Genomic DNA, 27,473 nt, shown 5'->3' with positions numbered 1-27,473 from the left:
GCTGAATGAATTTACATTCCAACAATGTATAAGCATTCCCTTTTCTGACAACCTCACTAGCATCTGTTGTCTTTTGACTTTTTAGTAATAGCCATTCTGACTGGTATGAAATGGTATCATTGTGGTTTTGATTTACATTTCTCCGATGATTAGTGATGATAAGCACTTTTTGTTTGTTGGCTGCTTTGTGTGTCTTCTTCTTTGTAATGTGCCTGTTCATGTCCTTTGCCCATTTTCTGATGCAGTTATTTGATTTTTCCTTACTGATTTATTTACATTCCTTTTAGAGTCTTGATATTAGACCTTTGTTGGATACGTATTTTGTGAATATTTTCTCCCATTCTGTAGGCTTTTTGTTTACTCTGTTGATAGTTTCTTTTCTCTTTTTTTTTTGACATGGAGTTTCGCTCTTGTTGCCTGGGCTGGAGTGCAATGGTGTGACCTCAGCTCACTGCAATCTCCGCCTCCCGGGTTCAAGCGATTCTCCTGCCTCAGCCTCCCGAGTAGCTGGGATTACAGGTGCGCATCACCACGCCTAGCTAATTTTTTGAATCTTTAGTACAGACAGGGTTTCACCATGTTGGCCAGGCTGGTCTCAAACTCCTGACCTTATGATCCACCTGCCTCGGCCTCCCAAAGTGCTGGGATTACAGGTGTGAGCCACTGTGCCCAGCCTGATAGTTTTACTGTGCAGAAGCTCTTTAGTTTAATGAGGTCCTACTTGTCCATTTGTATTTTTCTTGCAGTTGCTTTTGGGGACTTAGCCAAAAATTATTTGCCAAGGCCAGTGTTGAGAAGGGTATTTTCTTGGTTTTCTTCTAGGATTATTATAGTATGAGGTCTTACTATTAAATCTTTAATTCATCTTGAGTTAATTTTTGTATATGGTGAAAGGTAGGGATCCATTTTCTTCTGCACATTGCTAGCCGGTTATCCTAGCACCATTTATTGAATAGGGAGTCCTTTCTCCATTGCTTGTTTTTGTCAGCATTGTCAAAGATCAGATGGCTGTAGATGTGCAGCTTTATTTCTGAGTTCTCTGTTCTGTTCCATTGGTCTGTGTGTCTGTCCTTGTACCAGTACCATATTGTTTTGGTTACTGTAGCCTTATAATATAGTTCAAAGTTGGGTAGTGTTATACTTCTGGCTTTGTTCTTTTTGCTTAGGGTTGCTTTGTCTATTTGGGTTCTTCTTTGGTTCCATGTGAATTTTAGAATAGTTTTCTTCTAATTTCTGTGAAAAATGACGTTGGTAGTTTGATAGGGATAGCGTTGAATCTGTAGGTAGCACTGGGCAGTATGGTCATTTTAATGATACTGATTCTTCCAGTTCCTAAGCATGGAATGTTTTTGCGTTTGTGTTATCTGTGATTTCTTTCAGCAGTGTTTCATAGTTCTCCTTGTAGAGATCTTTCACCTCCTTGGTTAGCTATATAGCTATGTATTTAATTTTCTTTGTAGCTATTGTAAATGGGATTGTGTTGTTCTTGATTTGACTCTCAGCTTGAACGTTATTGGTGTATAGAAATGCTACTGACTTTTGTACACTTTTTTTTTTTATTCTGAAACTTTGCTGAAGTCGTTTATCAGTTCTAGGAGCCTTTTGGCAGGGTCTTTAGGGTTTTCCAGGTACAGAATCATATCGTCAGCAAAGAGAGAGTTTGACTTCTTTTCCTGTTTGGATGTCTTTTCTTTCTTTCTCTTGCCTGATTGCTCTGGCTAGGACTTCCAGTACTATGTTGAATAGGAGTGGTGAGAGTGGGCATTCTTATCTTTTTCCAGTTCTCAGGGAGAATGGTTCTAGCTTTTGCTTGTTCAGCATGATGTTGGTTGTGGATTTTCATAGCTGGCTCTTATTATTTTGAGGTATATTCCTTCAGTGCCTAGTCTGTTGAGGGTTTTTATCATGAAGGGATGTTGGATTTTATCAAAAGCTTTCTCTGTGTCTGTTGAAGTGATCATATCGTTTTTGTTTTTAATTCTGCTTTTGTGGTGAGTCACATTTATGGATTTGCATATGTTGAATCAACCTTGTATCCCAAGAATAAAGCATACTTGATCATGGTATATTAACTTTTTGATGTGCTGCTAGATTTGGTTTGCTAGTTTCTTGAGGATTTTTACATCTGTGTTCATCAGGGATATTGGACTGAAGTTTTCTTTGTTTTGTTGTGTCTCTGCCAGATTTTGGTATCAGGCTGATGCTGGCTTCGTAGAATGAGTTAGGGAGGAGCCTCCCTTGATTTTTTTGGAATAATTTCTGTAGGATTGGTACCAGTTCTTTGTATGTCTGATAGAATATGGCTGTGAATCCATGTAGTCTAGGGCTTTTTTGGTTGGTCAGTTTTTTATTACTGATTAATTTCAGAATTTATTATTGGTCTGTTCAGGTTTTCACTTTCTTCCTGGTTCAATCTTGGGAGGTTGTGTGTTTAGAGGGATTTATCCATTTCCTCTAGATTTTCTAATGTGTGTGAATAGTTATTCATAGTAGTCTCTAAAGATCTTTTGTATTTCTGTGGGGTCAATTGTAATGTCATCTTTGTCATTTCTGATTGTACTTAGTTGGATCTTCTCTTTTTCCTTTGTTAATCTAGCTAGCAGCCTATCAATTTTGTTTATTATTTTAAAGAACCAATTCTTGATTTCATTGATCTTTGGTATGGATTTTTGCATCTCAGTTTTGTTCAGTTCTTCTCTAATTTATTTCTTTTCTTCTGCTAATTTGGGGGCTGGTTTGTTCTTTTATTTCTAGTTCCTCCAGGTACAATGTTAAATTGTTAATTTGATTTAAATTAACAAATTGTTAATTTGATTTAAATTAACAAATTGTTAATTTGATTCTCTTAATGAAGACATTTAGTTCTGTAAGCTTTCCTTTTAACAGTTTTAGCTGCATCCCTAAGATTTTGTAAGTTGTGATTCTATTTTTATTTTCATTAATGAAATTAATTTCATTAATTAATGAATGAATTTTTATTAATTTCAAAGAATTTTTTTATTTCTGCCTTAATTTCATTATTGACCCAGGAGTTATCCAGGAATAAATTGTTTAAGTTCCATGTATTTGTGTAGTTTTGAGAGATCTTCTTAATATTGATATCTCTTTTTATTGCACTGTAGTCCAAGAGTATACTTGGTATGATTTTGATTTTTTTGAATTTATTTAGACTTACTTTGACTGAACACGTGATCTATCTTAGAATATGTTCTGTGTGTAGATGGGAAGAATTTGTATCCTGCAGTTACTGGATGAAGTATTTTGTAGCTTTCAATTAGGTCTGATTGGTCAAGTGTCAAGTTTAAGTCCTGAATTTGTTAGTTTTCTGCCTGGATGTTCTTTCTAACACTGTCAGTGGGGTGTTGAAGCCTCCCACTATTACTCTGTTGCTGTCTGAGTCTTTTTTTAGGTTAAGCAGAACTTGATTTATGAATCTGGGCATGTATATATTTGGCATAGTTAGGTCTTCCTGTTGAATCAAACCGTTTATCATTATATAATACCTTTCTTTGTCCCTTTTTACTGTTGGTTGGTTTAAAATCGGCTATATCTGATAAAAGAATTGTGACTCCTGCCCTTTTTTGTTTTTCATTTGCATGTTAGATCTTTCTCCATCCCTTTACTTTGAGCCTGTGTGTGTCATTACATGTGAAATGGGTCTCTTGATGACAGCAGTCAGGTCTTGTCCTTTTATCCAACTTGCCACTGTATTCCTTTTAAGTAGTGACATTTAGACAATTTATATTCAGAGTTAGTATTGATATATGAGATTTCGATCCTGCCATCGTATTGTTAGCTGGTTGTTTTGTAGACTTGATTATGTAGTTGCTTTATAGTGTCTCTAAGCTATGTCCTTAAGTGTGTTTTTGTGGTAGTAGGTGGTGGTTTTTTGTTTCCATGTTTAGCACTCTATTAAGGACCTCTTGTAAGGCTGATCTAGTTGTAATGAATTCCTCAGCATTTGCTTGCCTGAGAAGGATTTTATTTCTCCTTTGCTTATGAAGCTTAGTTTGGTGGGATATGAAATTCTTGGTTAGAATTTCTTTTTTCTTTAAGGATGCAGAAAATAGGTCCCCAGTCTCTTCTGGCTTGTAAGGTTTCTGCCGAGATGTCCGCTGGTAGCCTGATGGGGTTCCCTTTGTAAGTGACCTGACCCTTCTGTCTAGCTGCCTTTAAGATCTTTTCTTTCATGTTGACCTTGGTGAATCTCATGACTGTGCCTTGGGGATGGTCATCTTATATAATGTCTGATAGGAATTCTCTGTATTTCTTAATTTGCATGTCAACCTTTCTAGCACGATTGGAGAAATTTTTCTGGACTGTATCCTCGAATATGTTTTCCATATTGCTTATTCTCTCTTCTCTCTCAGGAATGCCAATGAGTCATAGGTTTTGCCTCTTTACATAATCTCATATTTCTCAGAGGTTTTTTTTTTCCATTCTTCTTCATTCTTTTTCCTTTATTTTTCTCTGACCAAGTAGATTTGAAGAACTGGTTTTGAAGCTCTGAGATTCTTTCCTCAGTTTGGTCTGTTATGTTGTTAATACTTTCAGTTGTATTATGAAATCCTTGTAGTGAAATTTTCAATTCCAGAAGTTCAGTATGGTTCTTTCTTAAAATGGCTATTTTACCTTTGTAAAATTGTTTTACTGGATTCATTGGATTGGGTTTTAACTTTCTCCTGAATCTTGATGAGCTTCCCTGCCATCCAGATTCTAAATTGTATGTCTGTCTTTCAGTAACTTCAATCTGGTTAAGAACTATTGTTGGTGAGCTAGCAGGCTCATTTGGAGGTAAGGGGACATTCTGGCTTTTTGAATTGCCAGAATTCTTGCACTGATTCTTTCTCATGTTAGAGGGCTATTGTTCCTTTAACTGCAGTGTAAGTCGAGTATAGTCAACTGGCCTTGTTTCTGGGTGCTTTCAGAGGGCCACAGCTCTATATAGATCTTTACTGTGCCTAGATTCTTGCCCTGGGTGTCACAGAGATGTATATTGGCAGAATTATTTTGGTGTTGTAATTTTGGCTGTGATCCAGTAGCTGGCATTTAACATTAGTGTCCAGTGGATAGGCTCTTACTCAGCTGCATAGTTCTTTTGTATTTCTGTGTGTTCACAGCCGTGCTCTGTGGTGGGGTTGGGGAGAGAGATGACCACTCATAAGGGCCACTCCTGGACCATGGGTGAGGTCCCTCCTATCACTGGCACTGTACCTGCATTACTGTTGTTTGGTGTCTTGGGTTGCAGGGCTCCCTTAGACAGAGGCCATGGCTGCCAGACAGGCCACACCCTTCCCAGACCAGCACTGTGGAGGAAGGCATGTCCCATTCCTGCACTGGCCCACGAACCCACGTGTCTCACTCCTTTCAGTGTTCTGAAAGTGGGATTTCTCCCCTACTTGAGTGCCAGCCCCAGCTCTTAGCTCGACAGCCCCAGCTGTGTGCTGTAGCCCTGTAGCACTGGGACCAGCCTGTGGCTCCATCGTCTGGACCCTCAGGGTCAGGCACCAGCTGTGCTGGGGAATCTGAAATGCTCCCAGGCTGCCAGGAAGGTACTCAGGTGGAACCACCAGCAAAAAACAAGGCTAGGCAGCAGAGGCTGCCCTGTGCACACATTCCTGCAGGGCAGCTTGGCAGGGGCCCTGGAAGGGGCTGTAGGGGAGGAGGGCCTGCAGAACAGATGTTCCTCTGTCCCACAGGGAAGCTGGCCCCAGGCTGGCCTGCCCCAGCATTCAGGTGGGGCTAGTCCTACTCCAGGGGAAATAAGAAGTCTTAGGGGATGGGCGCCTATGGCCACCTTCTGCTGCAGCTGCCTTAGATATGAAAACCCCTGGGCTCCATGTATTCTGGAGCTCTGTCTCTGCCTACTGTTTGGGCCAATCCCCCTGCCAGTTGAAACGTCTCCAGGGGGCATGGAATCTTGTAGCTAGGATCTCTGAGGTCCATAGTGAGAGTGTGCTGCCCCATCATCCATTCACTCACCCCTTTCTAGGAGCCTTTCAAGGCCAAGAACCAGCCCTGGCATTGGGCAACCCCCACAAGGTTACCAGCTTCCTCCCTCTTCAGCTTCCAGTTTGTATCACCTCTCTATCAGCTCTTGGTGCTTTTTCTCCAAAGATCTGCTCAAAATATGTTGGCTTACTCGATATTTTGGTCTTTATTAGTGGCAGTGGTGCTTCTTGGCCCTGTCTAGTTGGCCATCTTGTCCTTCTTCCACTAAAAATTATTTTTAAAAATAGTTTCAGGCTGGGCGCGGTAGCTCATGCCTGTAATCCCAGCACTTTGGAAGGCTGAGGCAGGCGGATCACCTGAGGTCGGGAGTTCATGACCAGCCTGACCAACATGGAGAAACCCCGTCTCTACTGAAAATACAAAATTAGCCGGACATGGTGGCACATGCCTGTAATCCCACCTACTCAGGAGGCTGAGGCAGGAGAATCGCTTGAACCTGGGAAGTGGAGGTTGCAGTGAGCCAAGATTGCACCATTGCACTCCAGCCTGGGCAACACGAGCGAAACTCCATCTCAAAAAAAAAAAATAGTTTCATTGATAACCTTCCTTTGAACTATAGTTAATGTTAAGAGTTAACAAGTAACATATGTTGAGTGCCCATCAGTGTAATACCTCAGATATAAAAGTCCTGTAGATTTTTAAAATATGATATTCACTCAGTTCTTATTTGCCCAGTTAACAGTGGGATCGGAATTTTTTTTAGCTTCTACCATTTACTTATATTTGGAGAAATGATGATGATGATGATGATATCCCAAGAGCTTTTAATATTACTTTAATGAATATTTATTAAGTACTCACTATATGCTCTACATGTGTCATGTAGAGGGTGGCGCATGGTGGTGATTTCATGACATACAGGTATTCAGGCATTGTCCGAAATGTTCTCTGGGAGGATGTCTGGAAAAAACTCCAGTTCCAGATCGCGTCTGCAACCATGAAATCTCCCCACCATGAATGAGGAGGAGGAGGAAGAGGAAGAGTTATAAGTCAGGACTTACCTCTTGCCTTTATTAATTTGCTGTTTCAATTAAGTTTAAATAAAACTACATGACTGAAGGATACTGCCCTTCCCCTTTCCTTCAAGGCTGCCATTTGAAGGGCCTTTGCTAGTTTTTGTTGATTTGCTTGAAAGTGTTTCTCTTAGGCCCATGACCCCTTTCATTTATTTTTTTATTTAAAAAATTGTTAATTGTAGCAAAAGCATAACATAAAACTAACCATTATTAAGTGTACAGTTCAGTAGTGTTAAATAGATCCATATTAAACAGATCTTCAGCACTTTTTCATTTTGCAAAACTGAAAATCTATATCCCTGAAATAACAAGTCTCTGTTTCCCCTTCTTCATCCCCTGGTAACTACCATTCCACTTTCTCTTTCTATGAATTCAACTACTCTAGGTACTTCATAGAAGTAGAATCATATAGTATTTGCCTTTTTGTGACTGGCTTATTTCACATAGCGTAAGTACCTGAAGGTTTATCTACGTTGTAGCCTGTGACTTACACCTTTCATTTTTAGCTTTGGCTGCTGCTGCCATGTTCCCTGTATTTAAGCTGTGGTTTAAAACAGCTTGAGAGGACTCAACTCAGGCTGCCAAGAAAAATGGCAGCAAGAGCTCATTCTACCTATTAAATACTAACATGTTGCTTCCAGGAGGGAAGTGAGCAATTATTGTTTATTCCAAAACATCTGGATATATATGCGGTTATATGTTACAGTTAAAAATTTGTATACTAGTTCATGTTAACTGCAAAGACAAACTATTAGCAAATTATCTATTAGACTTCATTTGGATTTGTCTCTGGTTTATTTAAGTTTTGTCTTTGATAGCAGCAGAAAATGAATCAATAAATGAAAATGAATTTATATTTCTTAAGGCATCCATTACTCATCAGAGATAGTTAATTTAGCTAACATTTGGAAGTGCTGATACCACCAACAAAGCCTAGCATCAAATAATTTCTTTTAATTTCTTTTAATGTCTTAAACACAAATAAAAAACTTATAAACAAATTTGCTTTATTTTCTGAATATTTATAGAATACGTAAGAATTGGTTTTATCTTCATAAAATTATATAATTGGGCTTATCTGAGGTTTGTTTTCATTCTCTTTAATTAAATTATTAGTTAATATCTGATATTCCTATTTATTCTTACCATGCATACAATCTATAGCCCAATAGCATGGGAACTCTTTTTTTTTTTTGAGATGGAGTCTCTCGCTCTGTCGCCGAGGCTGGAGTGCAGTGGCACGATCTCAGCTCACTGTAAGCTCTGCCTCCCAGTTTCACGCCATTCTCCTGCCTCAGCCTCCCGAGTAGCTGGGACTACAGGCGCCCGCCACCACACCCGGCCAATTTTTTGTATTTCTAGTAGAGACGGGGTTTCACCGTGCTAGCCAGGATGGTCTCGATCTCCTGACCTCGTGATCCACCCGCCTCGGCCTTCCAAAGTGCTGGGATTACAGGCGTGAGCCACCGCGCCCGGCCAGCATGGGAACTCTTGAAATAACTGCATGTATTTCTTTTTTTATCCAAAAAACTATTTGAAAGCTTGCTTTGCTAGGTTGTTTTTTGCATAAGTGTGAGAGTAGCTAGCTATTTCTAGTATTAAATGGTAATGGGAAATAAAATTACAGCTGTTTCTGAGTTGGATCTCCATGTGGCTTCATTATTTTTTCGCTGTGAATTTCCAGAAGAGTAGATACAACTGTAATAAAATGTAAATGAGAAAATATATTCAAAAACCAAATATAAAATGACTTGAATTATTTTTCTGGCTTACCTATACTTCATTTATCTTTATTAAGGTTAGTAAGGGAAATGTGTGTGGTTTATATTGTAGATACATGCACACACAGCAGGATAAATTTTCATTTTAATGCTCATTAAGAATTTAATTGTACTTAATATATTTTGCAGTTATAAAGGAAATAGAAAAATAAAGTCTATCCCATGTGAAATGACTCTCACTGGTATTGTTTTGCCCATAAGAACTTCTGTCTTGTTTCAGTGAAGCAGGGAACAATCACTAATACAACATTTGTATCTCATTTCAGGATGATGATGATGATCCTTTTATGAACACTAGTTCTTTAAGAAGAAATAGAAGATAATATATTTAATGGCACTGAGAAACATGCAAGATACAGGAAAAATGAAAATGTTACAAGCTAAGAGTTTACAGTTTAAGATTTTAAGTATTGTTTCCTGAGCATAACTCCATAAGTAAGAAATTTCTAGTTCACAGACATACAATAGCATTGATTCACCTTGTTTTTTTAACCTGGTTGTTGTAGTAAGAGCTTTGTTTCAATATCACTCTTGAGTAAAGATTAAAATAAAGCTACCATTTTACATTTCTATTTCATAATGAAAAACTATGTCAGTATTTTAATATGGTTACATTTAGCCAAAGTTGAGGGAAAGAGCTTATAAAATTTAACTTCTTCATAATTTTAGTAATTTCCTAGAGGTTCTGGGTTTTCTGAAAGTAAAACAATTTATGCGAACCTATGTCTAAATTCACTGTTTGTTACTATGTATGTTTTTTTCCAATGCTTCTTATAAGACTAAATGATTAGAAGTACCTAATAGTTTGAACAGATATGTTTTTATTTAAAAGAGTAGAATAACCTTTCAGAATTACTGAGTTTTTTATTCCAGTTGTAGCAAAGATTTCAAAAGATTGTGTTCCCATTAAGTGGTAGTAATTTCCTTTATTATTCTGTATCCTTAATGGTGTTCTCTCTCTCTCTCTCTCTCTCTCTCTCTCCCTCTCCCCCCCGTTCCCCACTCTTCCTTTCTCCTTTGCTTTTTCTTCTCTTTCATACATATATGCGTGCCTAGTTCTAGGAGGAAACGGGTTAAAAATTGTTTTAAACTACATCTTGAAAATATTGAAGAATTTGTTTTAGGTAGAGTGGTCAGTTGAACCTTACAGTAAAGTATAGAAATATATTTAATGTGGAATGTCAATGCCAGGATTTCTCATTAACAATATTTTATCTCAACTTTGGTTCCTGTGATACATTTCTGAATGGGCAATTCCAGAAATCTTAGTAGCCCATGTTAAGCTTCTATTTTTTACTTGTTTTCGGGGAGAAATAAGAATTAGACATCTTCAGATTTAAGTTAAATAATCCCATTCTTTATAATCCTCTGTAAAAAGATCCCTGAGATTATTCCTTCTTCTAGTTTTATGCGACAGCTTTACTTTAAAATTCAAGTTATACATCTTGGGAGTACAATGGCCCGACATTTCTTCATAGGTAGAAACAAATACTTGACTCAGTGATACTCATGACCATTAGAATAGTCATACCTGGAATGTGTCAAATTATAAGAGACAGACACTTGGTTAGTGGCTGCCTCATATAGCACTTTTGAAGAGGCCTAAGTCAAAACTTGCAATATAACATTCTATTGACTTTCTTAAAAATATTTTTTCTGTACCTAACTTGAGCATAAGGGTTATTTGAGCAAGTAACATTAACTCAGTGGAAGGCATTGTCCTGTGAAATATTCTTAGGCAGATCTGCCCACATCTTTATTGAACTTGAAATCTAATATTTCTAGTATTTGAACAAAGCAGAAGGTTAAGTCAGGGAAGAGCAGTGCTGTCCATGATGTAATGGAAGCTACCAGGGGAGGCAGTGTCTGGATGATGCTGTGCTACCTACCCCTGCACAAGCCATGCTGGCTCAGTCTGAGCTGTGGGCCACATCAGCTAGTGGCTCTTCTCATGCATCAGTTAGGTGGGTCTGGGTGAGAGTTATAGTGAGGGAATGGTCACTAAAGTATCCTGACAAGTTCCTAGGAAAAAAGGAATAAAGTTTTTTTCCTTAAAAAAAAAAAAATTGCTCTTGGCTGTGAAAAGAGGTACTAAATGCGATTCAGTTCACCGCTAAGGAAAGTGATGACATAGCAGTTACAGAGGGTGATAAATCTCTCCAGCTAATTCAGGTCATTTTGTGAATACTATGTATCAAGCCCTGAAAATATGGTAAATAAAACGTGACAGGGAAACCTTTTTTTGATTGAATATTGTTACATAGTTAAATGTGCTATATATCCTTAATATTTTATATTGATCCTGCAAAATCTGTTGGTTTTAGGGGAGTTTTGTTTTTTGTTTCTAACAATTTTCAGACCTGTTGGTATAGGAATGTAGAAGTCTTTCAGATGATTTGAAAGCAGCTGCATTTGCTCTTGGAGGCTTTGGGAGAGCAGGAATGAAAACATTCAGAGGAAGACATCTGTAGGGAATTCTTCTGTTACTTACCAAAGAATAAGTGTCTTTCTGGTGTTTTATTTCCTATCATAAAAATACAACAGTGCATTTACAAGGTTAAAGATTCCTCGAAGTTCTAGGAAATTCTTGAAAATATAAGTGGTGCTTAGAAAATTCAAGCATTTAGGAATGTGACCTTTAATTCAGGTATGTAAAAGACTTTTTTCCCAAACTTTTAAAAGTAGGAAATACAATAAATACAGAAAAGTCATATGGTTGAATAAATAATTATAAATTGAGCACTGATGGAATCCCTCTACAGGTCAAGAAATAGCGCAGTGTCCTGGATGCCCATTATATTGTTTTCTCCTTTCTGGGTAACAAGCCCTAACTTCTGTAATTTAAAAGCTCCTACTTTTGCCACAAGGTGGTGCTTCTGCCATTAGACGCAGTTAGGAGGATGCAACTGCAAATCTAAAATTACGAAGTTAGTGTAGTTGCAATAAACTTAGAACATATGCATTAATACTAAACCTATGCAGTAATACCATAATTAGCCTTCTAATCATGTAATTTGCTTTACTTAGGTATTTCATTTGGTTCAGCCTGTTATGGAATTTACCAGCTTGATAAATTTGCCTATAAAGTTTTATAAAGAAAAGGAATATTTTGTTTTCATAAAGAGGAAAATCCATTCTTAGAAAAAAACTGAGTAAAAAAGTATCTCAATGGGCTGGGTGCAGTGGCTCATGCCTTTAATCCCAGCACTTTGGGAGGCCGAGGAGGGGGTTCACCTGAGGTCAGGAGTTTGAGACCAGCCTGGCCAACATGGTGAAACCTCGTCTCTACTAAAAATACAAAAGATTAGCTGGGCATGGTGGTGTGTGCCTGTAATCTTAGCTACTCAGGAGGCTGAGGCAGGAGAATCGCTTGAACCCAGGAGGCAGAGGTTGCAGTGAGCCGAGATTGTGCCATTGCACTGCAGCCTGGGCAACAAGAGTGAAACTCAATCTCAAAAAAAAAAAAAGTATCTAAATGTAAAATATCTTTTTTGGAAATATAGAATTTAAAAGCGACTTTCCCCCAAAGAAATCTGATGTCCTTTTTGTATCTGTCATAAATTTAATTCATAGTATTTTGGGTTTTTTTTGTTTTTTTTTTTTGAGACGGAGTCTCGCACTCTTGCCCAGGCTGGAGGGCAGGGGCACCATTTCGGCTCACTGCAAGCTCCACGCCATTCTCCTGCCTCAGCCTCCCAAGTAGCTGGGACTACAGGCGCCCACCACCACGCCTGGCTAATTTTTTTTTTTTTTTTTTTGTATTTTTAGTAGAGACAGGGTTTTTCTGTGTTAGCCAGGATGGTCTCGATCTCCTGACCTTGTGATCCACCCACCTCAGCCTCCCAAAGTGCTGGGATTACAGGCCTGAGCCACCACGCCCAGCCTATTTTGTGTTTTTTTAAAGCTAACTACCATTAAGATCATTATAGAAGTTTGGTATAATGAAGATTTGGGTTTTTCAGTCCAATGAGTTTCCATATTCTTGAATGAAAAAGATCCACATTTCATCATTTGCCTGTTTCATTTTCTTTTAGTACTTTTGAACTTAGTTTGGTCAGAAAATACTAGAATTTTAGTTTGATCTAAAGAACCAGCTTATATAACTTGCTGTTGCCATGTACATTTGTATGTCTTTGCTGTGTCAAATAACTGGATCTGATTTTAGCTCTTTTTAAGTGGTGAAAGCAATGCATTTTTATTCTTCAAATTCAGACATTGAATGTGTATTAAAATGTGTGTGCTTACCTTTAATCCTCTCCCCACCGACAATTAGGAACACGTTTCTCCAATTACTGTTGGCAAGACTACCAAGAAAAATTGTTGAATTAGAATCCCAGCACCGGGCACGGTGGCTCACGCCTGTGATCCTAGCACTTTGGGAGGCCAAAGCAGGCGGATCACCTGAGGTCAGGAGTTCGAGACCAGCAGGGCCAACATGGCGAAACCCCGACTCTACTAAAAATACAAAAATTAGCCAGGCATGGTGGTGGGCGCCTGTAATCCCAACTACTCAGGAGGCTGAGGCAGGAGAATTGCTTGAACCTGGGAGTTGGAGGTCACGGTGAGCTGATATCACGCCATTGCACTCCAGCCTGGGCAACAGAGCAAGACTCTGTCTCAATCAATCTATCCATCAATCGATAAGAACCCCAGATTGTATAGCTACATGTTTTAGCCCCCTTTTCAAAGTATATGTTCTCCTTGGTACTTATTTTGACATTCTGACTTTTCTACATATGCTTTATCAACCTCTTAATTAAACCATCATTGTCTATTTTGAGAGATAACTGCGCTGCTTCCCGTTGTGTGTTTTAAATGTTATTGTTCAGTTTGAGTCAAATAAAAGGATATTTAATCTGTGGTGCCTTGACATTAAAAGTGGTAAAGTGATTTTTAAAGGGCTCTTGGCTGGCTTTTGCACATTATGGCTGATTAACAAAAGAGGTTTAATGGATATTAGGCTGGTTGGCCCATGCAAACTTTGTTCTGCCTCTGAGCCACTGTGTAGTCAAGATGGTTCATGTACAAATACCCAAAACTAGTGCATAAGTACCCTTGATCACAGTGCCTGTTCAATATCAGTACCAAGTGTTTCGTGTTTATATTTTATGTAAAAATCAGAATTTTCTACATAGAAGCTTATAACTGCAGTCTACCTGTTAGTGCATTTGAACTGATGGGATGGTATATCTGACTTTGAGTACATTTTGCTAGAGGCAAAAGGCCATTGCTTAATAGGCTGAGAGGCCCAACTGCATTTCCGTTGGTTCTTGGGTAGTCTGGAAATGAAGGCATCCATTTTACACTCATTAAAGTGTTTTACCATAAACGATGAGATAAATAAATAAACCCATCATAGGTATCCTGAAAGTTTCTAGTGGTTTGTCATTCCAGTACTGATTTCTGAGGTTTTTAGTAGTTTTAAGTCCAGATCATATTTTTAAAACTTGAAAGAGTATCAACTTTACAGAAAGTTGCAAGAATAATGGATAACTTTTTATAGTTTATTCAGATTAACCAATTTTTGACATTTTGTCATTAAAAAAATTCTATATGTGCATATATGTATATGTTATATACATATATTTTCATGTCAAATGTGAACACACACATAAAATTTCTCAATCTTTTGACACTAGGTTGGAATGTCATGTTCCTTTACTCTTTAATACTTCATTGTATGTTCCCTAGGAACAAGAATATCCTTTTATAACCACCATACTGTTAATCTACAGTCCATTTTCCAATTTTTTTATTTGTTCCAATACTTTCCTTATATAGCATGTTTTTCCCTCTAGTCTAGGTTTAGTTTTATTCTGTGAATATGTAGAGTATCAACGTGCTTCCTGAAGTCTAAATCATTCAAATGCACACTCAAGTCTTACTCCCTTCCCTATTCCTTTCATCCCTTTTTGCCCCACCCATTGTAGGTAACCAATTTCATTTTTGTTTATTCTTTTCACCAAAATATGCAAATTTGTACATTTTTTCATGTCCCCTATTTTCTTACATAAAAGGTTTTATGCTATATATACTCTTTTTGTCTGAACAAATGGAGTTTTTTGTCCTACAAACTACTCCATGTCATTTTATGGAGATCTTCCTTTTTTATAGCCTCATGGTACTCCATTGAGTTTAAATGCCATAGTGGATTCTGTCCTCCTATATTTGTGCCTTTTGGTAGTTCTGATATTTACAATTACAAATAATACTGCAATGCTAATACTAGTATTTTTAATACTGCAATACTAATACTAGTATTTTAAAATTTTTAGAAGTGTTATCTTCAGAGTAAATTCCTGGAAATGTGATTATTCGGTAAAAGAGTAAATGTACATGTAGTTTTGTTAGGTGTTGCCAAGTTCCTTTTTATAAAAGTGGTATTCCCACCAACAATATGTGGACTACCTATTTCTCTATAGCCTCACCATCAGAAGAATGTATTGTCGTCAGATTTTTGATTGTTTGCCAAACTGATGGACAAGAAATGGCATCTTAGTGTAATTATAATTTGCATTTCTCTTATGAATTAAGTTGAATTTGCAAAAATATGCTTAAGGCACATTTTTACACCCATTTTCGGTGAATTGCTTGTTCGTGTATCTTACTCATTTTTCTAGAATGTCTAGTCCCCTTTTTCTTCACTCGATATAAAAAGTATTTTTTAAATATTAGATATTAACCCTTTGTCTATAATATATTGTAAAATTTTTTCCCAACTTCTTGTTTGTATTTTTATTTTGCTTATGGTGACTTTTTTTGCAGTGCAACAGTTTGTTTTTAATGTAGTCAAATTTATCTGGTTTTGCATCTGGAGTTGGTTTTTGTTGTATAAATGGTGTCTAATTGAACAGAGGGTCTTTTAAGGAACATAACTTTTTTATTTTTATAATTGCATAATTGGACTTTATGAAGTCCAACTTACATTGATTAAGGTGTAATGTTTTTGTGTTCTGTTCAAGAAAAACATTGCTTACCTTAAGCTCATGTAACTTCTGTGTTATCTTCAGAACTTTATGTTTTGCCTTTCCAATTCAACTCCACAGTCCAGCTGGGAATTGATTTCTATGCTCTTAATTGCTATTGGGCTATTTTTTTCTATTTTGTTTCTGCTATGTGCTTTGTTTCAAATCAGATCCTCAGAACATGAAAGAAAATAATTATCTGTTAATTTAAGCTATTGATTAATATTGCATCTTACAGATGGGGAAATAATGATTAAAGTGGATTGTTTTTGTTTTAACAACAATACCATGTAAAAATATCTTTAAGGATATTTCTAGAAAACATGGCCAGATCAGCAACTCATTTTCACAGGATGTAAGCAATAGCTATCATTGATCTTACATGCTTTTAAAAAATGCTTCTAATAAGATTTTTTTAATTGCCATTTGAGGCCATTATTTTTGAGCACCAGAGAAAGAAAAGTTGTATTTTTTCATACTGGCTCTAACTGCCTTGTGTTTCATAAAGTTCATGCTATGATAAAGACAAATTCTAGCAATTACAGTTGAAGATGCAGCTTGCAGGCAGTGGAACAGGGAAGGTTGTGATGATCATATATCTCAGGGGAAAAGTCTGTACACAGTGAAGGAAACATGTAGGATCTGAAGGTGAAAGTCCGTTCTTGACCCACCAGTTAGACTATTCGACAAAATCATACGATATTATAAAAGGCTGAAATTAAGGGTAGAGTGATAAAAATCGAAATTGTGTGAAGAAAATGACCATGTCTTTTTTTTTTTTTTTTTTAAGTTCGAGAGAGTTTTGCTTTGTCGTCCAGGCTGAAGTGCAGTGATGTGATCTTGGCTCACTGCAACCTCCATCTCTCCCAGATTCAAGTGATTCTCCTGCCTCAGCCTCCTGAGTAGCTGGGATTACAGGCACGAGCCATCACACCCAGCTAATTTTTTTCTATTTTTAGTAGAGACGAGACGGGTTTTCACTGTGTTGGCCAGGCTGGTCTCGAACTCCTAACCTCAGGTGATCCGCCCACCTCGGCCTCTCAAAGTGCTGCGATTACAGGCATGAGCCACCATGCTCGGACCATGCCATTTATGCTGTACTTACAAGTTTAATTCCTAAATAACAATTCTTAACAGCAAGTGCCTTCTGGCAGGCTGTGGACTCCCAGCCTGGGTTCATCCTGAATTCACCTCTTCCACAACCTTTTATTATGTGATGCCATAACTCTCGACACTGCCTTTCCCATTAAATTGAGTTTCCTTAAGGGAATGCCCCTTGCTGTTTTTGTCTCTGAACCAAGCCTAGCATGGTGCCTGGCATAGAGCAGGCTCTTAGTAAATACTTAATGCATGACTATGTGAAGACATAATAGATTTTGTTAAAAGAAAAAAATTCCAAAGCACTCACAGAAATAAAGCAGAGCTGTTAATTTCCCCCTCACTCCTTGACAATGGAAATAACTCTCGTAAACACAAATGACTGTGCTATGCAGTAGAGGCATTAGAGTCTTAAGTTATGAAGTCAATGACTTGATTTCCAAACACCTTCTTACCCAAAATTGCCACCCTAGTCAGATTGGTTCAGTTGGCTGATCAGACCAGTGACTCATCTGTGACAGTGGCAATAATTAGGAACCTGTTACAGATAAAGATGGACTGTTGTCCTCTGTAAACTACTGAGTTTTTTCCGAGTATAAATAGTATTTGTGAAAAATGCAAAAGAATATGAAGAAAAAGGATATCAAAATCCTGCTATTAACATTTCACTGTGCGCCCTTTAACGCTTCACATAATTGAAGTGAAATTGTATCAGTTTGTGTCCTGCTTGTGTTATTCTGAAAGCATTTTCTGTGTTACTAAATTTTTCTCAAAAACATTTCTTTTAATGGTTGCATAGTGTTTTGGGTCATGGAATACCACAGCATAATATATTTTTCACTATAATAAATAATGCTTGATGGAGTCATCTTTTTACATAATATTTTTATACTTTTTATGTGGAGATAGGGTGTGAGAAACCTACATATATCCATCATCCTGCTTCAATCCATTTCTCTTCCCCAGGTCCAGATGATTTTGAAGCAAATTCCAGACATTGTGTTATTTAATCTGCATGTATATATGCACATGCGTATATATAATAAACAACAAGGACTCTTTTTAAATAAAATATGCTGTCAGTTGTACATAAATCTTTGACCACATTTTAAAAATTATATCCGTAGGCTAGGATAGAGTAAAAAATAGAATTTCAGGTAAAGGAGATGAAAATATTTTAAGGCTTATGACAGTTTTACCAGATTCCTTTGCAGAAAGGATATATCCATTTATACTCCCACCAGCAACATGAGAGCACCTCCTTCACTGCACCCTACCCAATACCTAGTCATTTATTTGATTTTGTGAACTTCACAGTAAAAGGTTTCTTCCATTTGGTTTTAGGCTTTAACAGTACTCTTCACCCAGAAGCTAATGATAAGATTGTTGATCAGTCAGACCTGGGCTTCAATCTTTCAGTCCTTTTAGCTGTGTGACTTATACAAGTCAGTCTCAGAACATCTGCTTCCCCATTCAGTAGATAAAAATGCCTACCTTGTATGTTTTGTGATTAGATGCAATGATGCTTATGAAGTGATTAGCACAGTCCCGGCATATAAAACCTTCGATGATTCCATTGGCTGCTAGCTGCATCTTCAACTGTAATTGCTAGAATTTCTTTTATCATAGCATGAACTTTATGAAATAGAAGTCAGTGTAAAATTAATATGAAAAAAGACTTCTTTTTCTGATGCTCAAAATTAATGACCTCAAGTGGTAATTCAAAGAAATAAAAAAAATCCTATTAAAGCATTTTCAAAAGAGCCTAAGATCAATGATAGCTGTTGCTTACATCCTGTGAAAATGAGTTACTGGTCCTGTGATGCTTTCTAGAAATATCCTTAACAATTTTTTTACTTGGTATTGCTATTTTTTAAAAAAACACTTTAATCATCATTCTCCCTCTGTAAGATGCAATATCAATCAAATAGCTTAAATATGGCTAATTATCCTCTTTCTCGTTCTGAGGATCGGATTCAAAACAAAGCACACAACAGAAATGAAAAAGAAGTAGAAAAAAATAGCCCAATAGCAATTAAGAGCATAGAATGAGAGCTGATGTTAAGAAATGTGACTCAACCTATAGAATTGTAGAAAATCCCCTTGAAACATTTAATTGCACGGCTCTACTCTTTAGAGGAACTGTATCTTCCTTTTGTCCCCTCTGAGAGCTAATGAAGAAATTCTCATTTTATGAGAACACTTGGACACAGGGCGGGGAACATCACACCCCGAGGCCTGTCGTGGGGTGGTGGGGAAGGGATAGCATTAGGAGAAATACCTAATGTAAATGACGAGTTGATGGGTGCAGCAAACCAACATGGTACACGTATACCTATGTAACGAACCTGCACGTTGTGCGCTAGAACTTAAAGTATAATTAAAAAAAAAACCTCATTTTAAGTGGTTATCCAGCAACAGAACCAGAAAATTGTTACTTTTACAGAAGGTAGGTTTTATTGCATATACAAAATGGATATTGTTATTTTAAATTAGATATGTCCAAGGTAAACGATCGTATCAGCAAACAAGAACAGTTTGACTTCCTCTTTACTGATTTGGATGCTCTTTCTCTTTTGTCTGATTGCTCTGGCTAGGACTTCTGGCACTATGTTGAAGAGGAGTGTTGAGAGTGGGCATCCCTTTCTTGTTCTCATTCTCAGAATGCTTTCAACTTTTCCCCATTCAGTATTATGTTGGCTGTGGGTTTGTCATAGATGGCTTTTATTACATTAACGTATGTCCCTTGTATGCTGATTTTGCTGAGGGTTTTAATCATAAAGGGAAGCTGGATTTTGTCGAATGCTTTTTCCGCATGTATTGAGATGGTCATGTGATTTTTGTTTTTAATTCTGTTTATCTGGTATATCACATTTATTGACTTGCGTGTGTTAAACCACCCCTGCATCCCTGGTATGAAACCCACTTGATCATGGTGGATTATCTTTTTGATATGTTGTTGGATTCACTTAGCTAGTGTTTTGTTAAGGATTTTAGCATCTATGTTCATCAAGGATATTTGTCTGTAGCTTTCTTTTTTGGTTGTATCCTTTCCTGATTTTGGTATTAGGATGATGCTGGCTTCATAGGATGGATTAGGGAAGGTTCCTTTTTTCTCTATCTTGTGGAATAGTGTCAAAAGAATTGGTACCAATTCTTCTTTGAATGCCTGGTAGAATTCTGCTGTGAATCTGTCTGGTTCTGGACTTTTTTGCGTTGGTGATTTTTAAATTACTATTTCAGTCTCGCTCCTTGTTATTGGTCTGTTCAGGGTATCTAATTCTTCCTGATTTAAGCTAGGAGGGTTGTATTTTTCCAGGAATTTATCCATCTCTTCTAGGTTTTCTAGTTTATATGCATAAAGGTGTTCATTGTAGCCTTGAGTGATCTTTTGTATTTTGGTGGTTTCAGCTGTATTATCTCCTGTTTTGTTTCTTAGTGAGGTTATTTGGATTTTCTCTCTTCTTTTCTTGGTTAATCTTGCTAGTGGTCTATCAATTTTATTTATCTTTTGAAAGAACCAGCTTTTTGTTTCATTTATCTTTTGTATTTTTTGTTTGTTTCAATTTCATTTAGTTCTGCTCTGATCTTGGTTATTTCCTTTCTTCTGCTGGGTTTGGGTTTGGTTTGTTCTAGTTCCCTAGTTCCTTGAGTTGTGACCTTAGATTGTCTGTTTGTGCTCTTTCAGAATTTTTGATGTAGGCATTTAGGGCAATGAACTATCCTCTTAGCACCACCTTAGCTGTATCCCAGAGGTTTTGATAGGTTGGGTCATTATTGTCTTTCAGTTCAAGAATTTTTTAATTTCCATCTTGATTTTGTTTTTGACCCATAGCTCATTCAGGAGCAGGTTATTTAATTTCCAAACCCTAAGTGTTCCCCCAGAAAACTGCTAGAACTGATTATATAATTCAGCAAAGTTTCAAGATACTGGATGAATGTACACAGATCAGTAGCTCTTCTATGCATCTACAGTGACCAAGCAGAGAATCAAATCAAGAACTCAACCACTTTTACAACAGCTGCAAAAAAAATAAAGTAAAATACTCAGGAATATACCTAACAAAGGAGTTGAAAGTCCTCTACCAGGAAAACTACAAAACACTGCTGAAAGAAATCATAGATGACACAAACAAATGGAAACACATCCTATGCTCATGGATGGGTGGAATCAATATTGTGAAAATGACCATACTGCCAAAAGCAACCTACAAATTCAATGCAGTCACCTTCAAAATACCACCATTATTCTTCACAGTTAGAAAAAAAAATTCTAAAATTCATATAGAACCAAAAAAGAGCCCACATAGCCAAAGCAAAACTAAGCAAAAAAAAACAAATCTGGAGGCATCACACCACCTCACTTCAAACTATACTATAAGGCCATAGTCACTAAAACAGCATGTACCACTATAAAAATAGGCACATAGACCAGTGGAACAGAATAGAGAACCCAGAAATAAACCCAAATACTTAAACAGCCAATTGATCTTCGACAAAGCAAACAAAAACATAAAGTGGGGAAAGGACTAATTATAGAAGATAACATTGGAAAAACCCTTCTAGACATTGGCTTAGGCAAGGATTTCATGACCAAGAACCCAAAAACAAATGCAATAAAAACAAAGATAAATAGCTGGGACCTAATTAAACTAAAGAGCTTTTGCATGGCAAAAGGAACAGTCAGCAGAGTAAACAGACAACCCACAGAGTGGGAGAAAATCTTCACAATCTATACATCTGACAAAAGGACTAATATCCAGAATCTGCAGCCAACTCATGTCAGTAAGAAAAAAAACAATCCCGTCAAAAAGTGAGCTAAGGACGTGAATGGGCAGTTATCAAAAGAGGATACATAAATGGCCAACAAACATATGAAAAAAATGTTCACCATCACTAATCATCAGGGAAATGCATCAAAACCGCAATGCGATACCACGTTACTCCTGCGAGAATGGCCATAATAAAAAAATCAAAAAACAGTAGATGTTGGCATGGATGCGGTGATCAGGGAACACTTCTACACTGTTGGTGGGAATGTAAACTAACACAGCCACTATGGAAAACAGTGTGGAGATTCCTTAAAGAACTAAAAATAGAACTACCGTTTGATCCAGCAATCCCACTACTGGGTATCTACCCAGAGGAAAAGAAGTCATTATTCGAAAAAGATACTTGCACATGCATGTTTATAGTAGCACAATTCACAATTGCAAAATCGTGGAACCAACCCAAATGCCCATCAGTCAACAAGTGGATAAAGAAGCTGTGGTGTATATATATATATATACAATGGAATACCACTCAGCCATAAAAAGGAATGAATTAACAGCATTTGCAGTGACCTGGATGAGATTGGAGAAATTATTCTAAGTGAAGTAACTTAGGAATGGAAAACCAAACATTCTGTGTTCTCACTGGTATGTGAGAGCTAAGCTATGAGGACGCAAAGGCATAAGAATGATACGATGGACTTTGGGAACTTGGGGGAAGAGTGGGGGGGGTGAGGGATAAAAGACTACAAATATGGTGCAGTGTATACTGTTCGGGTGATGGGTGCACCAAAATCTCACATATCACCACTAAAGAACTTACTCATGTAACCAAACAGCACCTGTACCCCAATAGCTTATGGAAAAATAAAATAAAATAATAATTAGATATGTCCCAGGAACTTACTAGAGAGATAAAAGAGTATTTAGAGAGATAAAGACCTGCATCCTGGGTTGTCTGATTCCAGAGACAGTATCTCAACCTTAGTACTACCTGTTTTCCCTGTCTTAGTACTAGGCTGTAGGAGACAACATTAGGAAGACAGTAGTTCCTGGCCTGGTAATGCTGACAGTTTCATAGGAAATAGACGTGTAGCAAATCATGAGACCCCAACAAGGAAAGTATAGTATCAGAGAATGAATCATATGTTATGGGAGCACTTTTAAAAGAGCAGATTTGGGAACACTGACTTTGCTTGTTCTGGGGTTGTGGCAGTCAAGGGGGTCAGACAGTCTTCAGAGGGGAGATAACATTTGAGCTGGGTCTTGAAGAATAGAGTTTTTCTGGCTCTAAGGTGGTGGAGTGGATGACTGTAGGCAGAGAAACAGCATCCTCAAATACACAGTGTCATGTAATTGGTAATGTGTGAGATGACCACAAGATTCTAACCATGGTGGACAAGTGAATAGGAAAAGGAGCAAGTACAAGAAAGTGAGGGAAGAGCAGGACATAATGAATTGAGTTTGGAGCTTGTTGAAGTGGGTGGGTATTCCAGGTCATAATGTCCGATCAACAGTGAAATGTTACATAATACGGGTTTGGAGCTTTTAACAGGTGGTAAGTGAGGTACAGATCTTGGAGTCATTGGTGAGTAATGGATGGTTAAACCAGTGAAGGTGGCTGCGATCACCCAGGGGGACATTTAATTCAAGAGGAGCAGATAATGGAGCATAACATCTTGGAGCCCTGAACTTTAGCTAGCAATGCTACGATAAATGCTACCATTTATCCGTATATGGGTTAAATGGGTTGTTGGAGTTGGCTTAAGACCCTAGCCACCATTTAGAAAAATTTCTATGTAGAACTGCAGAGTAAGTTCAAGCAACTTAGAATTTAATTTGGGGCCACAAACTGAAGTTGGAGCTTGGTTGTACTTCTTTTTGCATATCCTAAATATACCTTTTTACTCTATGGCTCAGTGTGCTGGAACTTGGAAAGCAATTCCTAGCTTAGCCTGCCTACACACTTTGCATTTTTATTGCATTTGAGCATATCTTCAGCTGTACTTGGTATTTCAGGCTTACTTGGTTCATTTGTAATTCAAGTATGATGACATACAACTGGTACAATTAAACTAGGATTGACTGTCATGTGCCTGGCATTGTGTTGAACTGCTGTTTGTTCCCTTCTGCCACTGTGATTAGTACCATAAGGAAATGTGAGTGTGGTGAGTTTTTAACTCAAGTAGGGCCTTTTCAGAGAATAATATTGGTGATAAAAAGGCATTGTTTGCAGCGTCAGGAATACTGATGTGGTGAGACTCTCAAAACCTCTTTCGTAGGCCTCTATGTGATGTTACAGTAGTCTCACTTTATCCAAGGTTTCGTTTTCTGCAGTTTCTGATGAAATCTTGCACCACCCTACTCTGTCCACTCAGGATGTGAATCCTCCCTTTGTTCAGCATATCCATGCAGTACCTCCTCCTCAGTCACTCAGTAGCCACCTCAGTTGTCAGAGCTCCCGTCAAGGTATTGCAGTGCTTGTGTTCAACTAACCTTTATTTTACTTATAGTAGCCCCAAAGCTGCAAGAGTAGCAATGCTGGCAATTAGCATATGCCAGCTAGAAGCTATAAAATACTTCCTTTATGTGAAAAGGTGAAAGTTCTTGATTTAATAAGGAAGGAGGGAAAAATCGTAAGCTGAGGCTGCTAAGATCTGTAATAAGAACGAATCTTCTATCCATGAAATTGTGAAGACGGAAAAAGAAATTCATGTGTAGCCTGTATAGGGTTTGATACTATCCACAGTTTTGGGCATCCACTAGGAATCTTGGAATGTTTACCCCATCAATAAGGGGGGACTACTGTGTTCTATAATTCTTGGTCTCATTTTTATTAAAATAGTGTGAAGTGGTTTATTGGTTTTTTTGTTTGTTTCAAGTACATTTGAGAGAGTGAAACCCTCTGCTCTTTTCTGTGTTTACTGTGTGTGACTATTACTAGAGATCTAGGAATATACTTACTATTTGGCACAAACTGACTATTCAGTGTCTTTGGTTTTATTTGTAATGTACAAAAACAAGAGGTTGGTTCACTGTAAGAGCTGCTTGTATCTTCCTGTAACCACTTAGTAAGAGCAACAGTGATTTACAGTGATTTACCATAACGCCTCTGAGAAAAGAACTACTTTTAATAACTCAGCCTTCGTGTGAGGTAAGGTGAAGGGATATTCTTGTTTCATTAAAGACTGTGACTTCGGCCGGGCACAGTGGCTCACGCCTGTAATCCCAGCACTTTGGGAGGCCGAAGCGGGTGGATCACGAGGCGGGTGGATCACGAGGTCAGGAGATCGAGACCATCCTGGCTAACACAGTGAAACCCCGTCTCTACAAAAAAATAGAAAAAATTAGCTAGGTGTGGTGGCAGGCGCCTGTAGTCCCAGCTCCTTGGGAGGCTGAGACAGGAGAATGGCGTGAACCCAGGAGGCGGAGCTTGCAGTGAGCCGACATCACGCCACTGCACTCCAGCCTGGGTGACAGAGCGAGACTCTGTCTCAAAGACTGTGACTTCAGGAGTTCAGGATAAGTTTGGGACAGTGGTGCTGGGCTAAGAGGAGGGCTTGGCAGGGCTCAGGAGGCCCAGGCCTGGCTGAGTGGAGAGCTGAATGCCTGGGGAAGAGGAAGAGGAAGTGATTCCAGACCTCATGCCTACCCTTGGATTTTCTCAGGACCGCCTCCCCCTTCAGAGCACACCAGTGCAACTTGCAACTGCCAGCAGTAGCATTTATTTGCCTGAGCCCTTGTTTTGCCTCTGGAGCCCATTTTGGCTATCCACATGGCAGGCCAGAAGTTCAGGAGCATCCTGGGAGAAGGAGCAGACCCCTGGGAGAAGCCTTCAACCAGTGACTAACAGGAGGTGGAGTACAGATACCACAGCTCTGTCACCCCTTGGCTTGGATAGCTGATGTGTACACCTTACACTGGCTTCCCAGCAGGCTTCAGCTTGTCACCCACAGTGGTAGCTGGCTTGACAAAACTCTATTGGTTGCTTTCCCTTTCTTGTCACACTTCTCCACTTCCCTATTGGTGTTTGCCTTCATCTCCCAAATGAACCCTCTCACTAGAGTATTTGTCACAGGAGATGCTTTTGGGGAAAGCTAAGAACTAAAACACCTCACCTCTTTCAGAAAGAAAGTTTCAGGCTTCTGGTGTAAATGCCCTCACACTTACAAGGTGGGCATGATGAGCAGGGAATCAAAGTGAAGACATTAGTTAGGTGGCCCAGATTACAAATATGCCGGCTAGCAAGCACCTTCTGTGGTACTTGGAAGAGAGTGCTTGGAAGGGCACTGGCTACCTTTGATTTCTTTCTCTGAGCTTGACGCTGACTATTCCTCTTCTATCCATACACTCTTTGTTGACACTGGGCACAGTCAATTGACTAGGATTCTGTTTTCTAAATGACCATCATATTCCGGCCTTGCCTCTCAAGATGATGCCAGGTCATCTTGATGGAGCAGCAAGTCTACCTAAGCTTTTTTCTTTTTGAGACGGAGTCTCGCTCTGTCGCCCAGGCTGGAGTGCAGTGGCGCGATCTCGGCTCACTGCAAGCTCCGCCTCCCGGGTTCACGCCATTCTCCTGCCTCAGCCTCCTGAGTAGCTGGGACTACAGGCGCTTGCCACCACGCCCAGCTAATTTTTTGTATTTTTAGTAGAGATGGGGTTTCACCGTGTTAGCCAGGATGGTCTCGGTCTCCTACCTCGTGGATCCGCCCGCCTCGACCTCCCAAAGTGCTGGGATTGCAGGCGTGAGCCACCGCGCCCGGCCCCCAAGCTTTCAGTGTTTACAGGCAGTCTCTTGGTTTATTTCCTGGAGCTAAAGATGTATTATTTCATCGGCCTAGCACCTTGTCCCTTCTAGGATCTGTCACATAATCCCCTATTTCAGCCATTTAATCCTGTGAGACCTGCCAGGTCCTTCAGTATAATTGAGGGTTATCTGCTAGCCATCCTTTCCTCCAGACACAGTTGCTTGAAGAGTACATGTGAAGTGGAAAACTGGAGACAAGAGTAATACCTAGGTTTGAGTCATTGTTTGGGTCCCAGCCCAAGGACATTGCTCCCCAGGGCACGTTGACACAATGTAAAGAATCTACATGGTGTTTCCTGTTGGGGGTCAGGGGTGGTTACCAGTAGTCAACCAGATATTGCATGTCTTGCACCAGAGGGCAATGCAGTGAGAGATGTATACAGGGGTCTCTGAAAACCTCACATTTAGGAAAAGAAAGCCTTTTAACCAAGGCCAAAAATGTTAAATGGCTTGCCCAAGATTTCACAGCTAGGAAGTGACAAAGCTGGGATTAAACCCTAATTACAGAGCCCATGGTCTTTACTACAGGCTTGTGGGTGGCAGAGGACCCAGTGACTGGGAGAGTTTTCACAGTGGAAGTGAAAACGGGTGAGCAGGATAGCAAGGTTTCCTGAAGAAGTAGATGGGGAAGGAAAAACAGCATGGGTCATAATATCCCTTAAAGATATAGCTTCAAGGACTTCCATGGCAGAAAAATTCAAGTTACCCAAGAGGTGAGCACACAGCTAAACTTCTCTTTTCCTTCGCTTCTTTGATGGTATCCGAACTGCTTTGAAGAGTTTCCTTGAAAAACAAAGCTCCCCAGATTGCATTCCTGGGGGCTGTCAAAGAAACTGTAATCCTTTAATAAGCCCTCCAGCACCTCTGGTATCTGGATACTCCGGGGACTTGGAGAATCCTTAACGTCTCTATTTTTTGGTTTGCCTTTTTCCTGGGACCGCCGGGACGCAGCGATCCATTTCGATATTGAAACTGTGCCAAGGCTAAGGCTTAGGTGGAAACAAATGGAATATATCCTT

General features: G+C 38.7%; 1 protein-coding gene across 37 annotated transcripts in view; it reads left to right on the top strand.

The window, feature by feature from the left end:
• Window positions 1–13,687, top strand: part of MRE11 (MRE11 double strand break repair nuclease) — a 96,843-nt gene extending 83,156 nt beyond the window's left edge. For 33 of the 37 annotated variants that reach the window (XM_011542837.3, NM_001440487.1, NM_001440472.1 and 30 more), the window contains one exon: window positions 9,076–13,687. In XM_011542837.3, coding sequence (XP_011541139.1) covers window positions 9,076–9,132 — 57 coding nt within the window. In that variant the 3' untranslated portion in view covers window positions 9,133–13,687. The remainder of the gene's footprint in view (window positions 1–9,075) is intronic. The other 4 variants (XR_007062484.1, XR_007062482.1, XR_007062483.1 and 1 more) reach the window with 1 other exon arrangement.

Source organism: Homo sapiens, chromosome 11 (genome assembly GCF_000001405.40).
Source record: "Homo sapiens chromosome 11, GRCh38.p14 Primary Assembly".
In the NCBI taxonomy this organism is placed as follows: domain Eukaryota; kingdom Metazoa; phylum Chordata; class Mammalia; order Primates; family Hominidae; genus Homo; species Homo sapiens.
Note: the sequence above shows the minus strand (reverse complement) of the source record. Positions and strands in the feature narration are given on the sequence as shown.